Source organism: Homo sapiens, chromosome 3, assembly GCF_000001405.40.
Source record: "Homo sapiens chromosome 3, GRCh38.p14 Primary Assembly".
Classification (NCBI taxonomy): domain Eukaryota; kingdom Metazoa; phylum Chordata; class Mammalia; order Primates; family Hominidae; genus Homo; species Homo sapiens.
This window is the reverse complement of record NC_000003.12, coordinates 83,439,432-83,458,031: the sequence shown is the minus strand read 5'-3', so window position 1 is coordinate 83,458,031 and position 18,600 is coordinate 83,439,432. Positions and strand designations below refer to the sequence as shown.

General features: G+C 35.0%; 1 long non-coding RNA gene across 1 annotated transcript in view; it reads right to left on the bottom strand.

The window, feature by feature from the left end:
• Positions 1-6,370: 6,370 nt before the first annotated feature.
• Positions 6,371-18,600, bottom strand: part of LOC105377183 (uncharacterized) — a 39,119-nt gene continuing 26,889 nt past the window's right edge. Inside the window, exons 3-5 of the long non-coding RNA XR_941006.1 lie at positions 7,660-7,744; positions 7,111-7,161; positions 6,371-6,491 (exon numbers count right to left, since the gene is read on the bottom strand). This is a non-coding gene — a long non-coding RNA (uncharacterized LOC105377183). The remainder of the gene's footprint in view (positions 6,492-7,110; positions 7,162-7,659; positions 7,745-18,600) is intronic.

The following is an 18,600-nucleotide window of genomic DNA, read 5'->3' as shown; positions in this document are numbered from 1 at the left end:
AAATGAGCCTTTTCGGAAAAAATGTGTGAAGTGAGTCCAGGGCAGACCCTGACAAACATTAAATTTAACAGGATAAGTAAAGAAAAAAAAATAGAGGAAGTTGAGAAAAAGTGGAAGACGTATAGAAGGAAAGCCATAAATATGTGTCTTCAAAATAGCCAAGAGAAGATATTTTTTAAAACGGAAGCAGTGTTCACAGTTATCTTGGTCTGTGACTTCAATTTGGCTACCAAGACAGCCTAGCAGTGCTTCTGTCTCCTTAAACTATTCTTAGCTCCAGTTTTCCTAGCAACTATTTCAAACATTTACATTTCCTTTGAACTCACCATGCCTACACCCACATGCATCTCATAACTCATTCTCAGAGAAGGCTTTGTTTTCTAACTTACACACACAAAAATAAAAAAATCTATTGGAAGAAACATTTTTCAGTTTCCTAACTGTGGCTGATGAGGTTCTCTGTAGCAGAGTTTGCCTTGCTGAGTATTTATTCCAGTACAACTTCTGTTGAAGGAGAGGGAAGGAAGCAGGGTTGGGCAGAGAGAAGCAGAACTGTGGCCCTGGAAGACTCCATAGAGAACTCTGAATCATATATGCCCCATCAGAATTGCCCAGTGTGGAGTCAAAATAGACCCCAGCCTCAACCAGTCATTGATGTATGATGTCCTGAGAAGAAGGCCATTCCTTTGAGCAAAGTGGCTGTTGATAGCTGAGACCAATGCTGAGCTAGAGGGCAGCTGTGGCAATTAATGCTATCTTGAAGTATCTGAGCAGTCAATTTCATGAGTATAGTTACAAACATACACTTACACACATATCAATCTTCTGTTTCTTCTCATTACGTAGGAGAGATCTCCTTTCCTAGGCTAAGCACTCTTTTAACCAATTTAGCACTTCCAAATTTTTTTAAGTCTCTTTTTGTAAGAGACTCTTTTTCTCAGCTCTTTCCTAACATATTTAATATGTTTCTTATGTTAAAAAATAAAACAAGAAAGCCTCATTTATCTACATTTATTCTCCCAGGCACAATCCTATTTCTTAGAATAATATCCAATACACTTATACGACCTGTAAAGTTAGTTATATGTGATCATTTCTCACGGTTCATTCTCTAATCGCATGTTCCCCCTTTACCTAGTCCTCATTTCTGTTGCAGTCTTTTTTAATTGTTATTTATTTGTTTGGCCCCTCCCCACTTTCCTTTTTGGATTGCTTTTCCTGTTTCTTTTCCTGGAATATTCTTCCTTCACATATTTTTATATTAATATTTTCTCTCTTCCTTCAAGTTTAAAAGAGGATCCTTATTACTTGCCCCCAGGAAAATCCTGATTCATTTATCCTGTTCTATTTTTTTAATCAAAGAATAATTATCTGAAATAATATATTCTTTATTTGAGTATATATGAATTTTATTTTTCCTCACTGAATGCAAGCTCTATAAGAAAATAAAGTCTTATTCAATAAAATATTACCAGCAATAATACATGATGCAACTTTATAATATTTGTTTTTACATTAAAAGGAATCTTAATTCAGTATTTTAATAACAATGTATCATATATTAAATGTATAATTGAAAATAAATGAATGTAATGGATTTATCCAACAACCAAATAGTAAGTGTATACTCTGAAACAAAATTGTGTATTATGAAGACAAATGCAAAGTAGACTTCATCAGACAATTTAGGATCTCATAAATACAGATATATAAAAAGAAATAATTGTATTATAGCATACATGGTTAAAAAAAGTACACAGTTTTACAGTAGGAACAGTGGTGAAATAAGTTTCCACTAATAATCTGTAGTATTTTAATGCATGTTAAAGTTGGATTCTAACAAACTAAACCTGTAGTATAGTTAACATTCTAAAAAAAAAAAAAGGCAAGGACTTTGAGACAGATGAATAATCCTACCAAACCCCACCCTCTAACTTACCTATATTTTAGACTAATTTAGAGACCTGTTGAATTGTTTAATCATTATAACACGATGCTGTGTCTGCTAGATAAGAAAGCACAGGGCTGGAGGGGAGAATCAGACCACAGTGCTGCACCCTTGAAAAGAACATGCAACTGAATTGTGCCATATGGAATGCTGAGCTAATAGTACATGTTCTCATATTATGTTTGTGGCTTCCCGGATGAAGGTCCTAATGAAAATGCCCATTGGGGTTAAAGGCACTTAACAAAGGAGCAGTAGCAGCAGTGACCAGGAAAAGAGGAGCTAGACTGATGCTGTCAACAAAAGTTGTAGAACAAAGCAGAGAATTACATTCTGAGATATGTATGTCAGGCAGCATACTATCTCCAGGCTTTAAGATAAGAAGAGATTTATGGGTATTGCCTTACATAGTCAAAGAAAGGTTAAAAAAAGGAAGTTTGAAATTTGTTTTCCCTCTTTTCTACATATAACTTACACTAACACTTCTGAAAAACAGAAAAAAATAAGAGAGATAAATTCCAATTTATATGTTCAGGAGAAATATATTTGTTTTGGAATACCACTAACAGTCTCTTTTCAGGCTATTGGTGACAAATATATATGATATAAATTCACCCTAATTCCAAGACCACATCTAAAGAGGTGGTAATAAGAATAATTGTTCCTGAGCTGACTAAACAAGACAATCTCTAAGTGATTTGGAAAAAAAAATTTAAGGATTAACTAGCCCATATCAATCTTACTAATGATAAATTTTGATTATGGGGTACATGCATAATCAGTTTTTAAAACTAACATGGTGATATGATGATCAAGAACATTTTGGGACCTTCAAAGGTATTGATGGAATGAGAGGATATTATGGACATTAAAACATACTCCTCTAACACTGAATAAGGAGAAAAATGAAACCTAATCAGGACTATCAAAGTATCACCAAGCAGTTTAGAACATTGCTTATTTTTGATGTCATTAATTCTTCATGTTTTGTCAAAAGAATGCTCAAAATGACCTAAGAATCCAGCTAGGCAGAGAAATACAGTATATAAATATTCTGATTAAGGAGGCAATGTATTGCATCTTATATTGGAGAAACATTTCCATAAAGTCAGCAGATAAAGTTGTTTTGAAAGTTTGAAGAATTACCTGTAAGATATACTTTGGTAAAAGGTCATTTTTCCCAAAAATTTCACATAAATTGCTCTGCTTTATATAATGTGTCCATTATTCAAAATTATCTTATTTGTAAAACATTAAGAAATCTATGTGCTTAAAAATAGTGATGCAATGTCACTATTAATTTTCAATTGTATTGACAATAATATGCTTTAAAATAAAAAAAAAAAATTTGCATTTTATTTTAAAACATTATGCTGAGCCCAAGAGTTTGAAGACTAGCCTGCGCAATGTGTTGAAATCCTGTCTATACAAAAATAAAAATAAAAATAAATGGGCCAGGTATGGTGGTGTGTGCCTCTGGTCCCAGCTACTTGGATGGCTGGGGTGAGAGGATCACCTGAGCCCAGGAAATCAAGGCCGCGGTGAGCTGAGACTGCACCACTGCACTCCAGCCTGGGTGGCAGAGTGTGTTCCTCTCTCAAAAAAAAAAAAAAACACAAAACAAAAGAAAACAAAAACAAAAGCGTTATGCCATAAAGCTGAAACATGTTGATTAACATCTGTTACACATATTTGCTCAAGCCTCTGTCATGTGAGCAAATGAATACATCTCTTGTGAAAGCATAAACTTTTCTAAAAAAGGTGCTTTTCTTTCATTCTTCACTGGTTGCCTAAGAACCTATTCTTATATTTTTCATCTCCAAGGGCACAGAGTAACATTTCTTACAAATTCTTATTAATTACTCTTAAGAATTGTTTTGATTTTTGGCTTAATATTAAAAGTATATTAAAAAGAAAATACAGGAAAAAAAATCATATAGAAAGCCAGAGAGCATGGGTTGTAATAATTCCTTCATTCTGTCTTCTCACAGTTTAAGTCCTGCCAATCCATAACTAGACATAATGGGTACATGTGAGATTTGAAAATTAGGTAACAAAATTTTAAAGGGGAAAATATATTTTATTCTAAGGTAGTTTTGAAGAATGTTAGAAAACTAAATGATTACAACTAAAAGTTTGAGGCAAGGAAAATTGAATAGTTGGGAATAGGCCAAAAAACAATAGAAGGAATTAGCAGCAAAGAGAAACATTTCCCAGACAGCAGCCCAGGATCGCCTAGGGATTTGGTTGTGACAATGAAATGAACTAATTTTGATGAATATTTGTAAAGAATATGAGGGAACAGAATAGTTTATTAGTCTATAGCATTGAAATTTTAAATAATGTCTATTTTTCAACCATAATTTACCATTCATCCCATATCTACTGACATCCAGTCTGTCTACACTCAAAAGAGTGACAGAAAACAAAAGCCAATCCAAGCAAAACAAATAAAATAACACATATTTTAATGTGTCAAAGTTCTTAGGAATTGAAATACATTTTTCCTGAACTATGTTTCTACTTTACAAGGCATTTTTGAATCAAAAGTTGTCATACTTTCTTTTCATCTTTTTCAGGAAAATCTTATTCACATGACTCTCAGCAGGGGTGATAAAAGGATAAAAAACAGTGTGCTTCATGTTAGTTTTCTGCAGAAGATTTCTACTCTGTTCTTAATCTGAAAGAACAATTTTGAGTAACCCACGGTTTATAGAAAAGGGTAAAAAAAAATCTTGGAGCTATCACTATGGCTCTATATTCAAATATGTGAAAGTAAAGAAAAGCATATGGCCATGACTGAGAGACCTCAGAGTGCAGCACTTAAGGAAATCAGCATGAAAAATAAAGTGCCCATTACCAAGTGATGATTTACTGTATAATTTATGGGAGAGTAGAGTATGCTTGAAACTGCACTTAGCACCTGGATGCCATGAAATATAAATTGAGATGAAATGTGCTCATGAAATTCCATTAATAAGAAGTATGATGCTGGTTTCCTTTTTATTTTGCTTGTAGCTTAATAGAAAGCAGAGGTAAGCCTAGGCAATATTCAGTGGCTTTTATTTGATTATTTCTTGGACTCATGAGACCTTGGTTATCAAAGGGAGTTTAGAGGCTGTCTGGTGTAATCTCTCTCTTTCTTTTATCTCTCTCTTTTTCTTCTCCTCCTTCAGCATCTTTGACAGATGCAAACCTAAAACACCAAACTGTATAGTCCAGAAAGATTGTTATATATTTATTCAACCATTATGCATTACCTATTTATGATATACTAGACACAATATTAACCAGTTGGGATATATTAGTGCCATGGTCTGAATGTATCCCCTCAAAATTTATATGTGGAAATCCTAACACCTGGGGTATTCAGAGGTGAGGTTTTAGGGGGTGATCAGATGATGAGGGCTTCACTCTCAGGAATGGGATTAGTGTTTTTATAAAATAGGCCTGAGGGAGCTTGTTTGCCTCTTCAATCATGTGAGGACACAGGGAGAAGGAGCCATTTACAAGAAAGTGGGCCCTCGCCAGACACCAAATTTACCAGTGCCTTAATACTGAGCTTCTTAGCCTCAAAAACTGTTAGAGATAACATTTTTGTTGTTGAGAAGCTATCTAGTTTACGATACTTTGTTAGAACAGCTCAAATAGAGTAAGACACTCAATGGACAAAAGTGACCCAAAGCCTTCCTTCATGGAGCTTTATTCCAACATGGCAGATTGGGAGGGTGGTTGATTTGTTGTATTTGGTATATTAATCATGGTTCTTTAAAGAAACAGAACTCATTGTGTGTGTGTGTGTGTGTGTGTGTGTGTGTGTGTGTGTGTAGAGAGAGAGAGAGAGAGAGAAATATATTTTAAGGAATTGGTTATTTAAAACAAAGAAAGGAGGCTTATGGAGGTTGACATGTCCAAAATTGGCCAGATAGGTTGACAGGCTGGAGACTCAGGGAAGGGCTGATGTTGTAATTCAAGCCTGAATTCTTTCTTACTCTGGGATAGGGCAGTCATTGGTCCTATTAAGGCCTTTAACTAATTGGATGAGTTTCAGCAACATTATGGAGGACAAACTACTTTACTTTAAATCCACTGATTTAAAGTTAATTTAAAAACAAAAACAACAACAACAACAAAAAACAAAACAAAAAACCCTTACAGAAACATCTAGAATAATGTTTGACCAAATAAATATCTGGGCACTATGACCCAGACTAATTGGCACATAAAATTGACCATCATGTTCAGAAAGTGAGGAGATTTAGGGTAAGGATACTATAAATATAAATGATGACCAACCAACTAAATTAGAATAATTAAATGTTATTTATTCACACCTTGCTATAGTAAAAGAGCCTCTGTCGCTTACATTTTGGCAAACAATCAAAGGCAGACAGAAGACAGGGAAAGATTTATAGTGGAAAAAATGCAAGGCTTCAAGTATTACCTCATTGGAGGCGGTGGGCATGGGGAGGTCTAGGCGGGTTAATGAGAAGCAGGCATTCTGTGCGATTGATTAGGGATGTATGTTTGGCTTTTCTTGTTGGTCCTAAGTTGGAAGCAGAATAAAAATTACATAAACTGTCAGTTATTAAGTCGTGACCATTTTGGGCTGTTTGCTATGAAATTTATTGTTTTGTTTCCTGGATCATTACTGGAGACAGGAGTCTGAATTGTTACAAGTCTGATTTACAGCAGACTGGCTTCCTGGGCTGTTTATTATAAGGAGATGTTTTCCTAGACAGGTTGCTGCCAGGTGTCAGTCAGTGTTCTATTTTTATATTTGGTCTGGCCATTGTTTATTTGCATATACAGTCTCCCAATATAGATAATATACGATCTAATAAAGAAATCAACTACATAGTATATAAGAAGGTGATAAATATTGCATGGAAATTCTAGAATAACATATAAAATACTAGGAGTAAAAAATGGGGAAGGTGTGAGAAAGATTACAGTATTAAATTATTAAGAGCAAGTTCATTTACAAGGTGAGATTTAAGTAAAAACTTGAAAAGGATGAAAAGATTAGCCAAGCAAAGATCTAAGGAAAGATAGCCCTAAGCATATTAATAGTTAATGTTAAGCCCTTAATATGGGCTAATACGTGATGTTTACAATATATTTGAAATAATTACAATGCCTCTCCCCTATTATCTTGAACTCACCCTCTTTGACATATTTTTCTCAATTAGTTATACTTTGAATCATTCATCATCCTAAAAAGAAGACATTAGAAGTTAAAATAAAAACAAAAAAATAGAGAGTGACAGAAATAACCAGAACAGAAGTAAAGTCTGTAACCAGAGATCACTGGCTTGTAGTCAAATAAGGCTTATCTTTGGAATCTAGATTCTAACTTGGAATTTAAAAAAAAGGAGAGAGAGACTCTTTGGATATTTTGGATATCTCTTACATTATGAGAGTAAGGCAGGTGATGGCATTCAGGCCAGACAAATATATTATGATAAAGTCCTTAACATGGGCATTTTGATCTGAGTTTTGAAATTAAACAGATGTTGTATGCTTAACCTTTAACATACAATTTTATAACCGTTGGTCCATGTACACCATAACAGATTGAGGCTGTAAAAGAATCTAGAATGTGAAATTGGAGAGGACAATTTTGAGGAGACTTTGGGAGGGGTCTTCAAATTTCTATGAATCTAAATATGGTTCAGCTTCCTAAGGGGCAGGGATTCTTTTCTACTCCTTACCTCTAGTCTAGTGAAGGGTGCTTCAAGAAGCTTACTCAGAGGACTTCAGAAATGTTCTCCGGAGTCTAAGTTCAATCCATGATGTCTGGGGGAAATCACAGCAAAGTTGAATTGCTTTCCATTAAAGAAATAACTACCTTCATATTACAAGATAATGGGCTAGAGAATGTGTGAGTTTTTAATGTAGAACAGATGTGGACCACACAAAACAGGGAGTTGGTCTGAGCTCTCTTAAATCCAATCCAGGAGGTAATTGGACTATTGTGAAGAGATCATCCAAGTTTGAATAAGAGAAAGGGTGAGATTTAAACATTTCCCCAGCTTGCAAGAATGCTGGTTGAGGAAAGATATCCCTTTCCTAATACCATTTATCCTTACTGTGTTTCAATAAATGAGTAATAGCAGTTAAAAACAAGGACAGGGAAGAAAGTCTGTCTTTCCACGTCTATCTCCCTTGTGCCCCTCATCTCAAATGCCAAAAGCTGGTAAACTGCTTTGGCCATTAAAAAAAAGAAAATATTATGTTTGCTATTTAAGGCTAATGCAAAATTTTCTGTTACCTATGATTTATCAGAAATCTCATGGAAAGTGAACAAATGTTTAGCCACAGGAAGGTTAATGCACTTTCTATTGAATAAATTTTAAAGGATTACTAGGAAATAAACAAACTAACAAAAATGGCTCCTATTTGGCTAGAACCCATAGGTTGTGCTCATTCCCTTTACTAGCTGTATTTTTGCTGTACTACATAACTTGCATGTTTGACTACCTCAGGGGGAATGGCTTAGAACTAGTATCTCCATAAGTAAAGTCTGTGGGCTGAAATTTCTGTAACACATAGATAACTTCAGTTTAGGCTTTATATCTGCTAAGAATAGTGAAACAGTTTGGGTTCTGGACTGGTCAGCTCCTAAAATAATCCCTGAATAATCATTGCCTCCTTGTATTCACTTGAAATCCTGTGCATTCTTCTAACCCAGAATAGGGCTTACAGTAAATATTACCCAAAAGGCTATCATGGGAATTATTGCATGTGACTTCCAATGATAGGTCATAAGACATTGCAGCTTCCACTGTGTCATCTTTTGGATCACTTGTTCTAGAGAAAATGAGCCACTATGTCAACAGGCCCAACATGGAGACATTGACATAGTGAGAAACTGAGGTTTTGTGCCAATAACCAGCTCAGCTTGCCAGGCATGTGTGGATTAGAAGTGAATTCCTGGCCTGGTGCAGTAGCTCATGCCTGTAATCCCAGAACTTTGGGAGGCTGAGGTGGTGGGATCATCTGAAGTCAGGAGTTCAAGACCAGCCTGGCCAACATGGTGAAACCCCATCTCTACTAAAAAACACAAAAATTAGCCAAGCGTGGTGACACACATCTATAGTCTCAGCTATTCTTGAGGCTTGAGGCAGGAGAACTGCTTGAGCCCGGGTGGCAGAGGTTGCAGTGAGCCAAGATGGTGCCACTGTATTCCAGCCTGGGCAATAGAGCAAGATTCTGTCTCAAAAGAAAAAAAAAGGAAAGAAAGAAATTGAATTTATCAACCCAGGCAAGCCATCAGATGAATGTACTCTGACTTGTTACCACTTAAGAAACCAAGGCCCACGACCATTCAGCTAAGACACTTGTGTGTCCGTGACCCTTAGAAACTGAGATATTTATTGCTGCTGTTTTAAGCCAATAACTTTTTGAGTAATTCAGTATACAGCTGTAGAAAATAAGACAAGTTCTAATCTTATCCATAGCACTCTTAAGGTTGTCCACCCAGAGATGGATTTCCATTTATGGATGAGAGAGTAGTGTATTTCAACTCTCTCCTTTATGCAAATAACCACCTCCAGCTCCTTCCCTCACATAAAGCCTATATTCTCAAGCCCTATCTCTGCATGGGCTTTAAAAATGTCATTCCCATGATCAAGAACTCCTAGAAATGTGCACTTGCAAAGTTCTGTTTTTACATTTGGAATACAATAATTTTCCATTTTTGTGAAAAACAATATTCTAGCATCTTGGGAAAGGAGGCTATTTTTTATCAGAATATTACAAGAATCTTTAATTTTCTCATCAAGCCAAAGTTAAGAAGAAGACTAACACTGTTTATGCATCAACCCTTGGTTAATGCAAGTATTCCAAGTCTGAATATCCATCTTTTTAGTGACAAAGTAACCTCAGGCAAACGTCACACATAATATTTCAGCCAGGCTAGCATTATCACCCCCTAAACGCTATTTTCCTAAAATTACTTTTTCATTTCAAAAATTAAGATTCCGAGCCTGTCAGTCCTCTGATTCTACTGGGGAGTATTAGAAAAAATGTTTGCAGAATAAATAACTTCATTAAAATAAATGATTGTTTAAAATGCAGGTTCATGGGCTCCCATCTGAGTCTATCAAGTTGAGTTATTACATTTTCTAAATCAACATCAGTGGAGTTTTAACTTAAATGTTAATACATTCTGGTAGTGTAGCTTAGAGAATCTGACTCAATACAACTGAGGTAAAACCTGGAAATCTGCATTTTAACAATCGAAAGAGAGAATTCTGATAAAAGTGGAACTAGTGACCGCCATTTAAGAAATATTGTCAATGTTCTCTCCTTGTTTATTGTTTTTTTCCACTTCTTACCACTGATTCTTTAAAAGCATTTTATTTATCTTTTGAATTTTTTTGTGCTTAGTGTTTAGTTTTTTTTTTTTTCTTGTTTGTTTGACTAGCTTTTATATGGCCTCCATAGTTGTGGTAAAAGGGTAAAAGGTACTATGGTCACGAAGAGTGAGTAGAAAGAGAAGAAGCAGCAGTAGCAATGATTTATGGGTGGAGGCATCAGTAAATCAGGTTTTCATAAGTCAGAGACAGCTACATAAAGTTTCTGTGAAGATGCAATTAAAATGAGTATAAAACATCAATGTAAACTATTCTAGGATAAATGGTAATACACACAGTAGCAGATATTCATACTTGTCTCTAGTTAACTGCCCGATGCTAACTATATTATTAATATCAACATTTAAAGAAACTGATAGCAGGATCGGGAGAGATGGGACTGTTTCAAGTAAAGATAAAGATTTTTGATTGAGGTTTGAAGTTAGAAATATCTTTTCAATTTATAAAAGCAATTATGCCTTCTAGTACACAAGAGGGTATATCAAGTTTACTGTAAAAAAGTTATGTATTTGATAGGCAACTGAAAGTACAGCCCAGCTAATTTGATGTGATGCTCTTAAAGAGCTATGCACACTAGTTTTTTTTTTTTTTTTCCTTGTCCTGTTAATGTAATTTGACTTCTGGTCACCATAAAGAGAGAAGAAGATTTAAATTCAGAGTAAGACAAGGATTAATGCCTCTTTCCAGAGAAACATCCAAAATATTAATACATGAATACACACACAGATATACAAATTTTATATTTTGTGAATATTTTGATGTATTTGTTACTTTTGTATGAACTATAATAAAGTTGTTAATATTATATTAATATGGAGTAGTCTGCTTATTCATGAATACATTGAGATGCAAATAATTATTAATAAAAGTAGATTTTTCTTTCCATATTATACTGAAAATAAAATAGGATTTGGAATGTAGTGTTGTCATTCAAAGATTGCACAATTATAGTTTTAGCTATCTTTGGGAAACACAGAAAATTTCTGACTTTTCATACTAGTTTGTGACTTTGCTGAAATGAGGTAAAAAAAATTAATTACTTGTGTTTCAAAGCTGGTGTACAAGAGAAAACCACATAGGAAGAGAATGAGCCTATTCTACAGGGTGTATCACCATCTCAAACCACTCTTTTGGCCTCTATTAATTATGAAGTATACATTACATGGGGGCAATGAGCTTGGATATTCTCAAAGGTTTTAATAACATATCTTGGTTAATAGCCCCTCCATTCTGTTAGAATCTGCTGAGACTCAGTTTCCTGGGTTAATCTGAATATTAATAAGATCCAATTTCAGAATACTCATTTGAGGTGGAAAATATTATATGTTATATATAATATATATAATATATAATATATATATGAAATACCTATAATGTCTAATTGCTTTATAAATTCTTGTAATAATACTATGATTTAGGAGCATTATAATTTTAATGATTCATCAGTGATTCAATGCAAAATGTGCTCATATTTTCAATTTTTTAACAAACTATAAACAACTGTTGATTCCAAGCAATAAAAACATTCTAATTAATTAAAATGTTCTTATAAAGTAACAATAAAAGGTGAGAAATTAAATTAGATAAAATAAGATAGTTATTAATAAACTATAATTATTAACTATCAAATATGATATTTAATAAAATAGTTATTTTGCTAAAGCTAAAATCAAAATATTCTAAACATAAATAATATCTTTTAGAAGCCATTCTTTTTTCATATAAACTTTGATTTAAGATGCCAAAAGTCAAAGTGTCTCAATTATCTTAGAAATTAAAACATGTAAAAGTGTTCCTATTTCTCCACATCCTCTCCAGCACCTGTTGTTTCCTGACTTTTTAATGATTGCCATTCTAACTGGTGTGAGATGATATCTCATAGTGGTTTTGATTTGCATTTCTCTGATGGCCAGTGGTGATGAGCATTTTTTCATGTGTTTATTGCGGCATTATTCACAATAGCAAAGACTTGGAACCAACCCAAATGTCCAATAATGATAGACTGGATTAAGAAAATGTGGCACATATACACCATGGAATACTATGCAGCCATAAAAAATGATGAGTTCATGTCCTTTGTAGGGACATGGATGAAACTGGAAACCATCATTCTCAGTAAACTATCGCAAGAACAAAAAACCAAACACCGCATGTTCTCACTCATAGGTGGGAATTGAACAATGAGATCACATGGACACAGGAAGGGGAATATCACACTCTGGGGACTGTGGCGGGGTGGGGGTAGGGGGGAGGGATAGCATTGGGAGATATACCTAATGCTAGATGACGAGTTAGTGGGTGCAGTGCACCAGCACGGCACATGTATACATATGTAACTAACCTGCACAATGTGCACATGTACCCTAAAACTTAAAGTATAATAAAAAAAAAAAAGAAATTAAAACATGTAAAATTTTATAGGAAAATTTGAAAAATTGAAGATCTAGTTACATATATGATTATATCTCAGAATAGCAAGACTTTTCAGTATATTTTTGCCTTTCATTTATTTTTTTAAGAACTTGTTATTAATCTGAAATGTTATATTCAGATTAGTGTATATCAATAACTTCCTTAGTAGACACTGAAGTATCAACTATGTGTCAAATGTTAAACAGATAATGAAGATACTATGAAAAAGCTTATTAAATACACTTAGATGAAAAAGATAAAAATTCATAATAAAACAGAACTTACCAAATGAACACAAGAATAAACACAAATCCACTATAGTCCATACCCAATAAGCAAAATAAACTTTCAGTTGAAAACCTTCCCACAAAAAAATCTCTAGGCCCACATGGTTTTGTTGGTTGAATTCATCCATTCATTTAAGAGAAAAAAAAATTGTAGTAGTTTTTAATAACTCTTCCATGTATTACAATTTTTCAACTATTTTATGAGACCCATAGAATCTTGATGCCAAAACTCTAATAAAGGTACACAATAAAAAGATGATAACAGGACCATTTCTCTCACAAATATAGAATCTGAAATTTAAAAAATAATAATAAAGAATCAAATACATAAAATTACAAGATATTCAAAACTTCATAAACAAGTACGACTTAACTGAGTAATGCAATCTTATTTCAATAAAAACAACGAAATAAATATACACATTAATACAAAGAAAAAATATGACTATCTGATGAGAGAATCATTCTATAAAACTCAACATAAATTTAATTACCAAAATAATATTTAGTTGATCCTTGAACAACACAAGCTTGAGCTGCACAAGTCCCATTATACATAAGTTTTCTTCCATCTCTGCCACCCTTGAGATAGGAGGACCAATCCCCTTCTGTTCCTCTTCTGCTCAGCCTACTTAACATGAAGACAATGAGGATGTACACTATTTATTTTTGTTTTTGTGGTACTTGCTTTTGGGTTCTTGGTCATGAAGTCTCTGCCTAAGCCAATGTCTAGAAGGGTTTTTCTGATGTTATCTTCTAGAATTTTTATGGATTTAGATCTTAGATTTAAGTGTTTGATCCATCTTGAGTAGATTTTTGGTAAGGTGAGAGATGAGGATCCAGTTTCATTCTTCTACATGTGGCTTGCCAATTACCCCAGCACCCACTTTATGGTATTGTTTCCTTCATTGAAGATCCTTTGGCTAAATTTGGCTTTATTTCTTGGTTATCCATTCTGTTCCATTGGTCTATGTGCCAATTTATATACCAGTACCATGCTGTTTTGGTAACTATAGCCTTGCAGTATATTTGAAGTTGGGTAATGCAATTCCTCCCTCCAGATTTGTTCTGGCTTAGTCTGGCTTTGGCTATGAGGGTTCTTTTTTTTTATGTTCCATATGAATTTTAAGACTGTTTTTTTCTATGTCTGTGAAGAGTGATGATGGTAGTTTTATGAGAATTGCATTGAATCTTTAGATTGTTTTTGACAGTGTGGTCATTTTCACAATATTGATTCTACCCATCCATGGGCATGGGATGTGTTTCCACTTGTTTGTGTCATAGATTATTTTTTTCAGCAATGTTTTGTAGTTTTCTTTGTAGAGATCTCTTACTTCCTTGCTTGGGTATATTCCTAAGTATTTTATTTTATTTTTTGCAGCTGTTGTAAAGGGAATGACTTCTTGATTTGATTCTGAGCTTGATTGTTGTTGATGTATAGCAGTGCTACTGATTTGTGTACATTGATTTTGTATCCTGCAACTTTACTGAATTTATTTATCAGATTTAGGAGTCTTTGGGAGGAGTCTTTAGGATTTTTCTCAGTATGATCTTATCATTAGTAAACAGTGACAATTTAACTTCCTCTTTGCCAATTTGGATGCCTTTTATTTATTTCCCTTATGTGACTGCTCTTGCTAGGCCTTCCAGGTCTATGTTGAATAGGTGTAGTGAAACAGGGCATCCTTGTTTTCTTCCATTTTTCAGGTGTAATGCCTTCAACTTATCTTCATTCAGCATAATGTTGGCCATGGGTTTGCCATGAATGGCTTTTATTAACCTTGAGGTAAGTTCTTTCAATGCCAATTTTGCTGGATGTTTTAATCATAAAGGGATGCTGGATTTCACTAAATGCTTTTTCTGCATCTATTGAGATGATCATATGGTTTTTGTTTTTAATTGTTTATCTAATGTATTACATTTATTGACTTGCATATGTTAAACAAACCCTGCATCCCTGATATGAAACTCACTTGATCCTGGCATATTATCTTTTTTATATGCTGTTGTTTATGAATTTTATTTATCTTTTTGACGAACTAGCTTTTTGTTTCATTTATATTTTGTATTATTTTGTTTCAATTTCATTTAGTTCTACTCTGATTTTTGTTACTTCTTTTCTTCTGCTGGGTTTGGGTTTGGTTTGTTCTTGTTTCTCTAGTTCCTTGAGGTGTGACTTTAGGTTATCTATTTGTGCTCTTTCAGTTTCTTTGATGTAGGCTAGCACTGCTTTTTCTATATCCCAGAGGTTGTGATAAGTTGTGTCACTCTTATTCAGTTTAAATAATTTTTACAGTTTCATCTTGATTTTATTGTTGATCCAAAGATCATTCAAGAGTACATTGTTTAATATTCATGTATTTGTATAGTTTTCAGGATTTCCTTTGGAGTAAATTTCCACTTTTATTCCACTGTAGTCTGAGAGGATACTTGACATATTTTCAGTTTTCTTAAATTTTGAGGCTTGTTTTGTGACCTATCATCTGGCCTATCTTGGAGAATGTTCCATGTGCTGATGAAAAGCATGTGTAGTCTTCAGTTGTTGGGTAGAATGTTCTGGAAATATCTGTTGAGTCCATTTTTTTCAAGGGTGTAGTTTAAGTCCATTGTTTTTTGTTAAATTTGACTTGATGAAACGTCTAGTGCTGTCAGTGGAGTATTGATGTTCCACACTACTATTGTTTTGCTATCTGATTTCTTAACTCTACTAGTGATTGTTTTAAAATTTGTGGACTCCAGTGTTACATGCATACGTTTAGAATTGTGAATGCACACATGTTTAGAATTGTGATATTTTCCTGTTGAACTAATGCTTTTATCACTATATAATGTCTCTCTTCATCTTTTTTACCGTTGTTGCCTTAAAGTCTGTTTCGACTGATATAAGAATAGTTACTCCTGCTTACTTTAGGTTTCCATTTATGTGGAATATCTTTTACCATGCCTTTACCTTAAATTTGTGTGAGTCCTTATGGGTTAGGTGAGACACTGGAAGTTAGCAGATACTTGGTTGGTGGATTTTCATCCATTCTACCATTCTGTATTTTTTAAGTGGAGCATTTAAGCCATTTACATTTAATGTTAGTATTGAGATGTGAGGCACCGTTCTATTAATCATGTTAATTGTTGCTTTAATATCTTTTTTTTAATTTTTTTCATTGTGTTATTGTTTTATAGAACATGTGAGATTTATGGTTAAAGAGGTCCTATTTTGGTGTATTTTATGGTTTTGTTTTAAGATTTAGAACTCCTTTTAGCAGTTATTGTAGCGCTGGCTTGATAGTGGCAAATTTTCTCAGCATTCGTTTGTCTTAAAAAGACTATTGCTCCTTCATTTATAAAGCTTAATTTTGCTGGAAAAAAATTCTTAATTGGCAATTATTTTGTTTCAGGAGGCTAAAGATAGGACCCCAATCCCTTCTGGCTTGTAAGTTTTCTGCTGATAAATCCGCTGTTAATCAGGTAAACTGATGCTTTTTTCTCACTGCTCTTAAAATTCTTTCCTTCATTTTGACATTAGATAACCTGAGGACTATGTGCTAAGGTGATGATCTTTTTGTGGTAAATTCTCCAGGTGTTCCGTGAGTTTCTTATATTTAGATGGCTATCTCTCTAGCAAGACCAGGAAAGTTTTCGTCTATTATTCCTTCAAGTAAGTTTTCCAAACTTACAGAAATCTTAGATTTCTCTTCTTCTTCAGGAAAACCAATTATTCTTAGGGTTGGCCATTTCACATAATCCCAAATTTCTTGGGGACTTTGTTCTTTTTTTTCTGGTGGGGGGTGGATTCCTTTTTCTTTGTCTTCATCTGATTGGGTTAATTCAGAAGCTTTGTCTTTGAGTTCTGAAGCTCTTTCTTCTTGTTGTTCTAGTTTATTGTCGAAACTTTCCAGTCCACTTTACATTTCTCTAAGTGTGTCTTTTATCTCCAGAAGTTGTGATTTTTTTTTTCTTTATGATATCTATTTCTCTGGAGGATTTTTCATCCATATCCTGTATTTCTCTTAATTTCTTTAAGTTGCTTTTTTAACCTTTCTCTGGTATCTGCTTGAGTAGCTTAATAATCAACTTTCTATATATATCTGGCAATTCAGATATTTCTTCTTGGCTTAGATCCATTGCTGGGGAGCTAGTGTGATCTTTTGGGGGTGTTATCGGACCCTGTTTTGTCACATTACCAGAATTACTTTTCTATTTTCTTCTCATTTGGGTAGACTATTTCAGCAGAAAGATCTGGAACTCAAAGCCTGCTCTTCAGATTCTTTTGTCCCAAGGGGGGATCCCTTGATATGTTGCTCTACCCCTTCCTCTAGGAATGGGGCTTCCTGAGAGACAGACTGCAGTGATTGTTATTGCTTTTCTGGGTCTGACCACCCAGCAGGGTTATCAGACTCTGGGCTGGTGCTGGGGAATGTCTGCAGAGTCCTGTGATGTGATCCATCTTCAGGTCTCCCAGCTGTGGTTATCAGCACCTGCTCTGGTGGAAGTGTCAGGAGAGTGAAGTAGACTCTGTGAGAATTCTTGGTTGTAGAAATGTTTAGCATGCTGGCTTTCTCAAAAGCTTGTTATGCTAGCAGTGACGTTGTCACATGGACAAACTCAGGAACTCTGGTTAGCCAGGATTTTGCAGGCAGTGGAACTAGCTGTTGTTTTCTCTTTCCTGGGAGCAGCGTTATTCTGTCATGCATTGCTGTGATGGCCTGAGTTGGTTGGTCTCCTGCCAGGAGGTGGTGCCTTCAAGAGAGCACCAGCTGTGGTAGTATTAGAGGGATGTAAACTTGCACTAAGTTGGTTAGGGTAAGTAATCTAGTTTCTCAGGTGATGGGCAGGGCCATAAAGCTCCAAAGAGTTTATGTCTTTTGTGTTTGGCTACCAGGGCTATCAGATGGTAGCAGGGTTGGGTGGGTCTGGGTTCAGACTCTTCTTGAGTGGGGCTTGTTGCAGCCACTCTTATGGGGGTGGTTCTCAGGCCAGTGGGGTATGTTCCAGATGGGATTATGGCTGTCTCTGCTGTGTCATATAGTTTTCCAGAGAACTGGGGGATAGCCAGGAGCAAAGGTCCTCACCCAGTTCCCACGCAGTTGGCGAGGCTGGTCTTGCTCCTGCAGTCCCCTGCTTAGACCTTGCCCCAGGCCTTAAGCTTCACCACTAAGAAAGCAAGCATGGATTTCAGGCCTTGACCCTCCCCATCTGCCCACACTGGGCAGATCTGATGGCAGAGGCTCCTGTATTCATATCTGAAGTAATTCCCATTCACGCTCCAGATTCTTCTCAAGAAAAATTGTGCCCAGTAGAAATTGTTACAAATTTCAGTTGGAAACTTCTTTTATCCTGGAACCCTTTTTTGAATTCTGCTGGCTGCCTTCCCTGAGGGTCCATGTGAGGTATAGTCAGAGATGGCTTTCCTGGTCTCAAGCTGGAGACTGGGAATGACTATAATACTCTTCCCACTGCTGCTTCTACTTTTGTATTTTGTGCAGCTCTTTATATTCACTTGAGCTCTATTACAGATTAAATCCTTCTCCAATGATGTGGATTTTTAGATTCCCAGTGAGGATGTGTGTTCAAAGGTAGA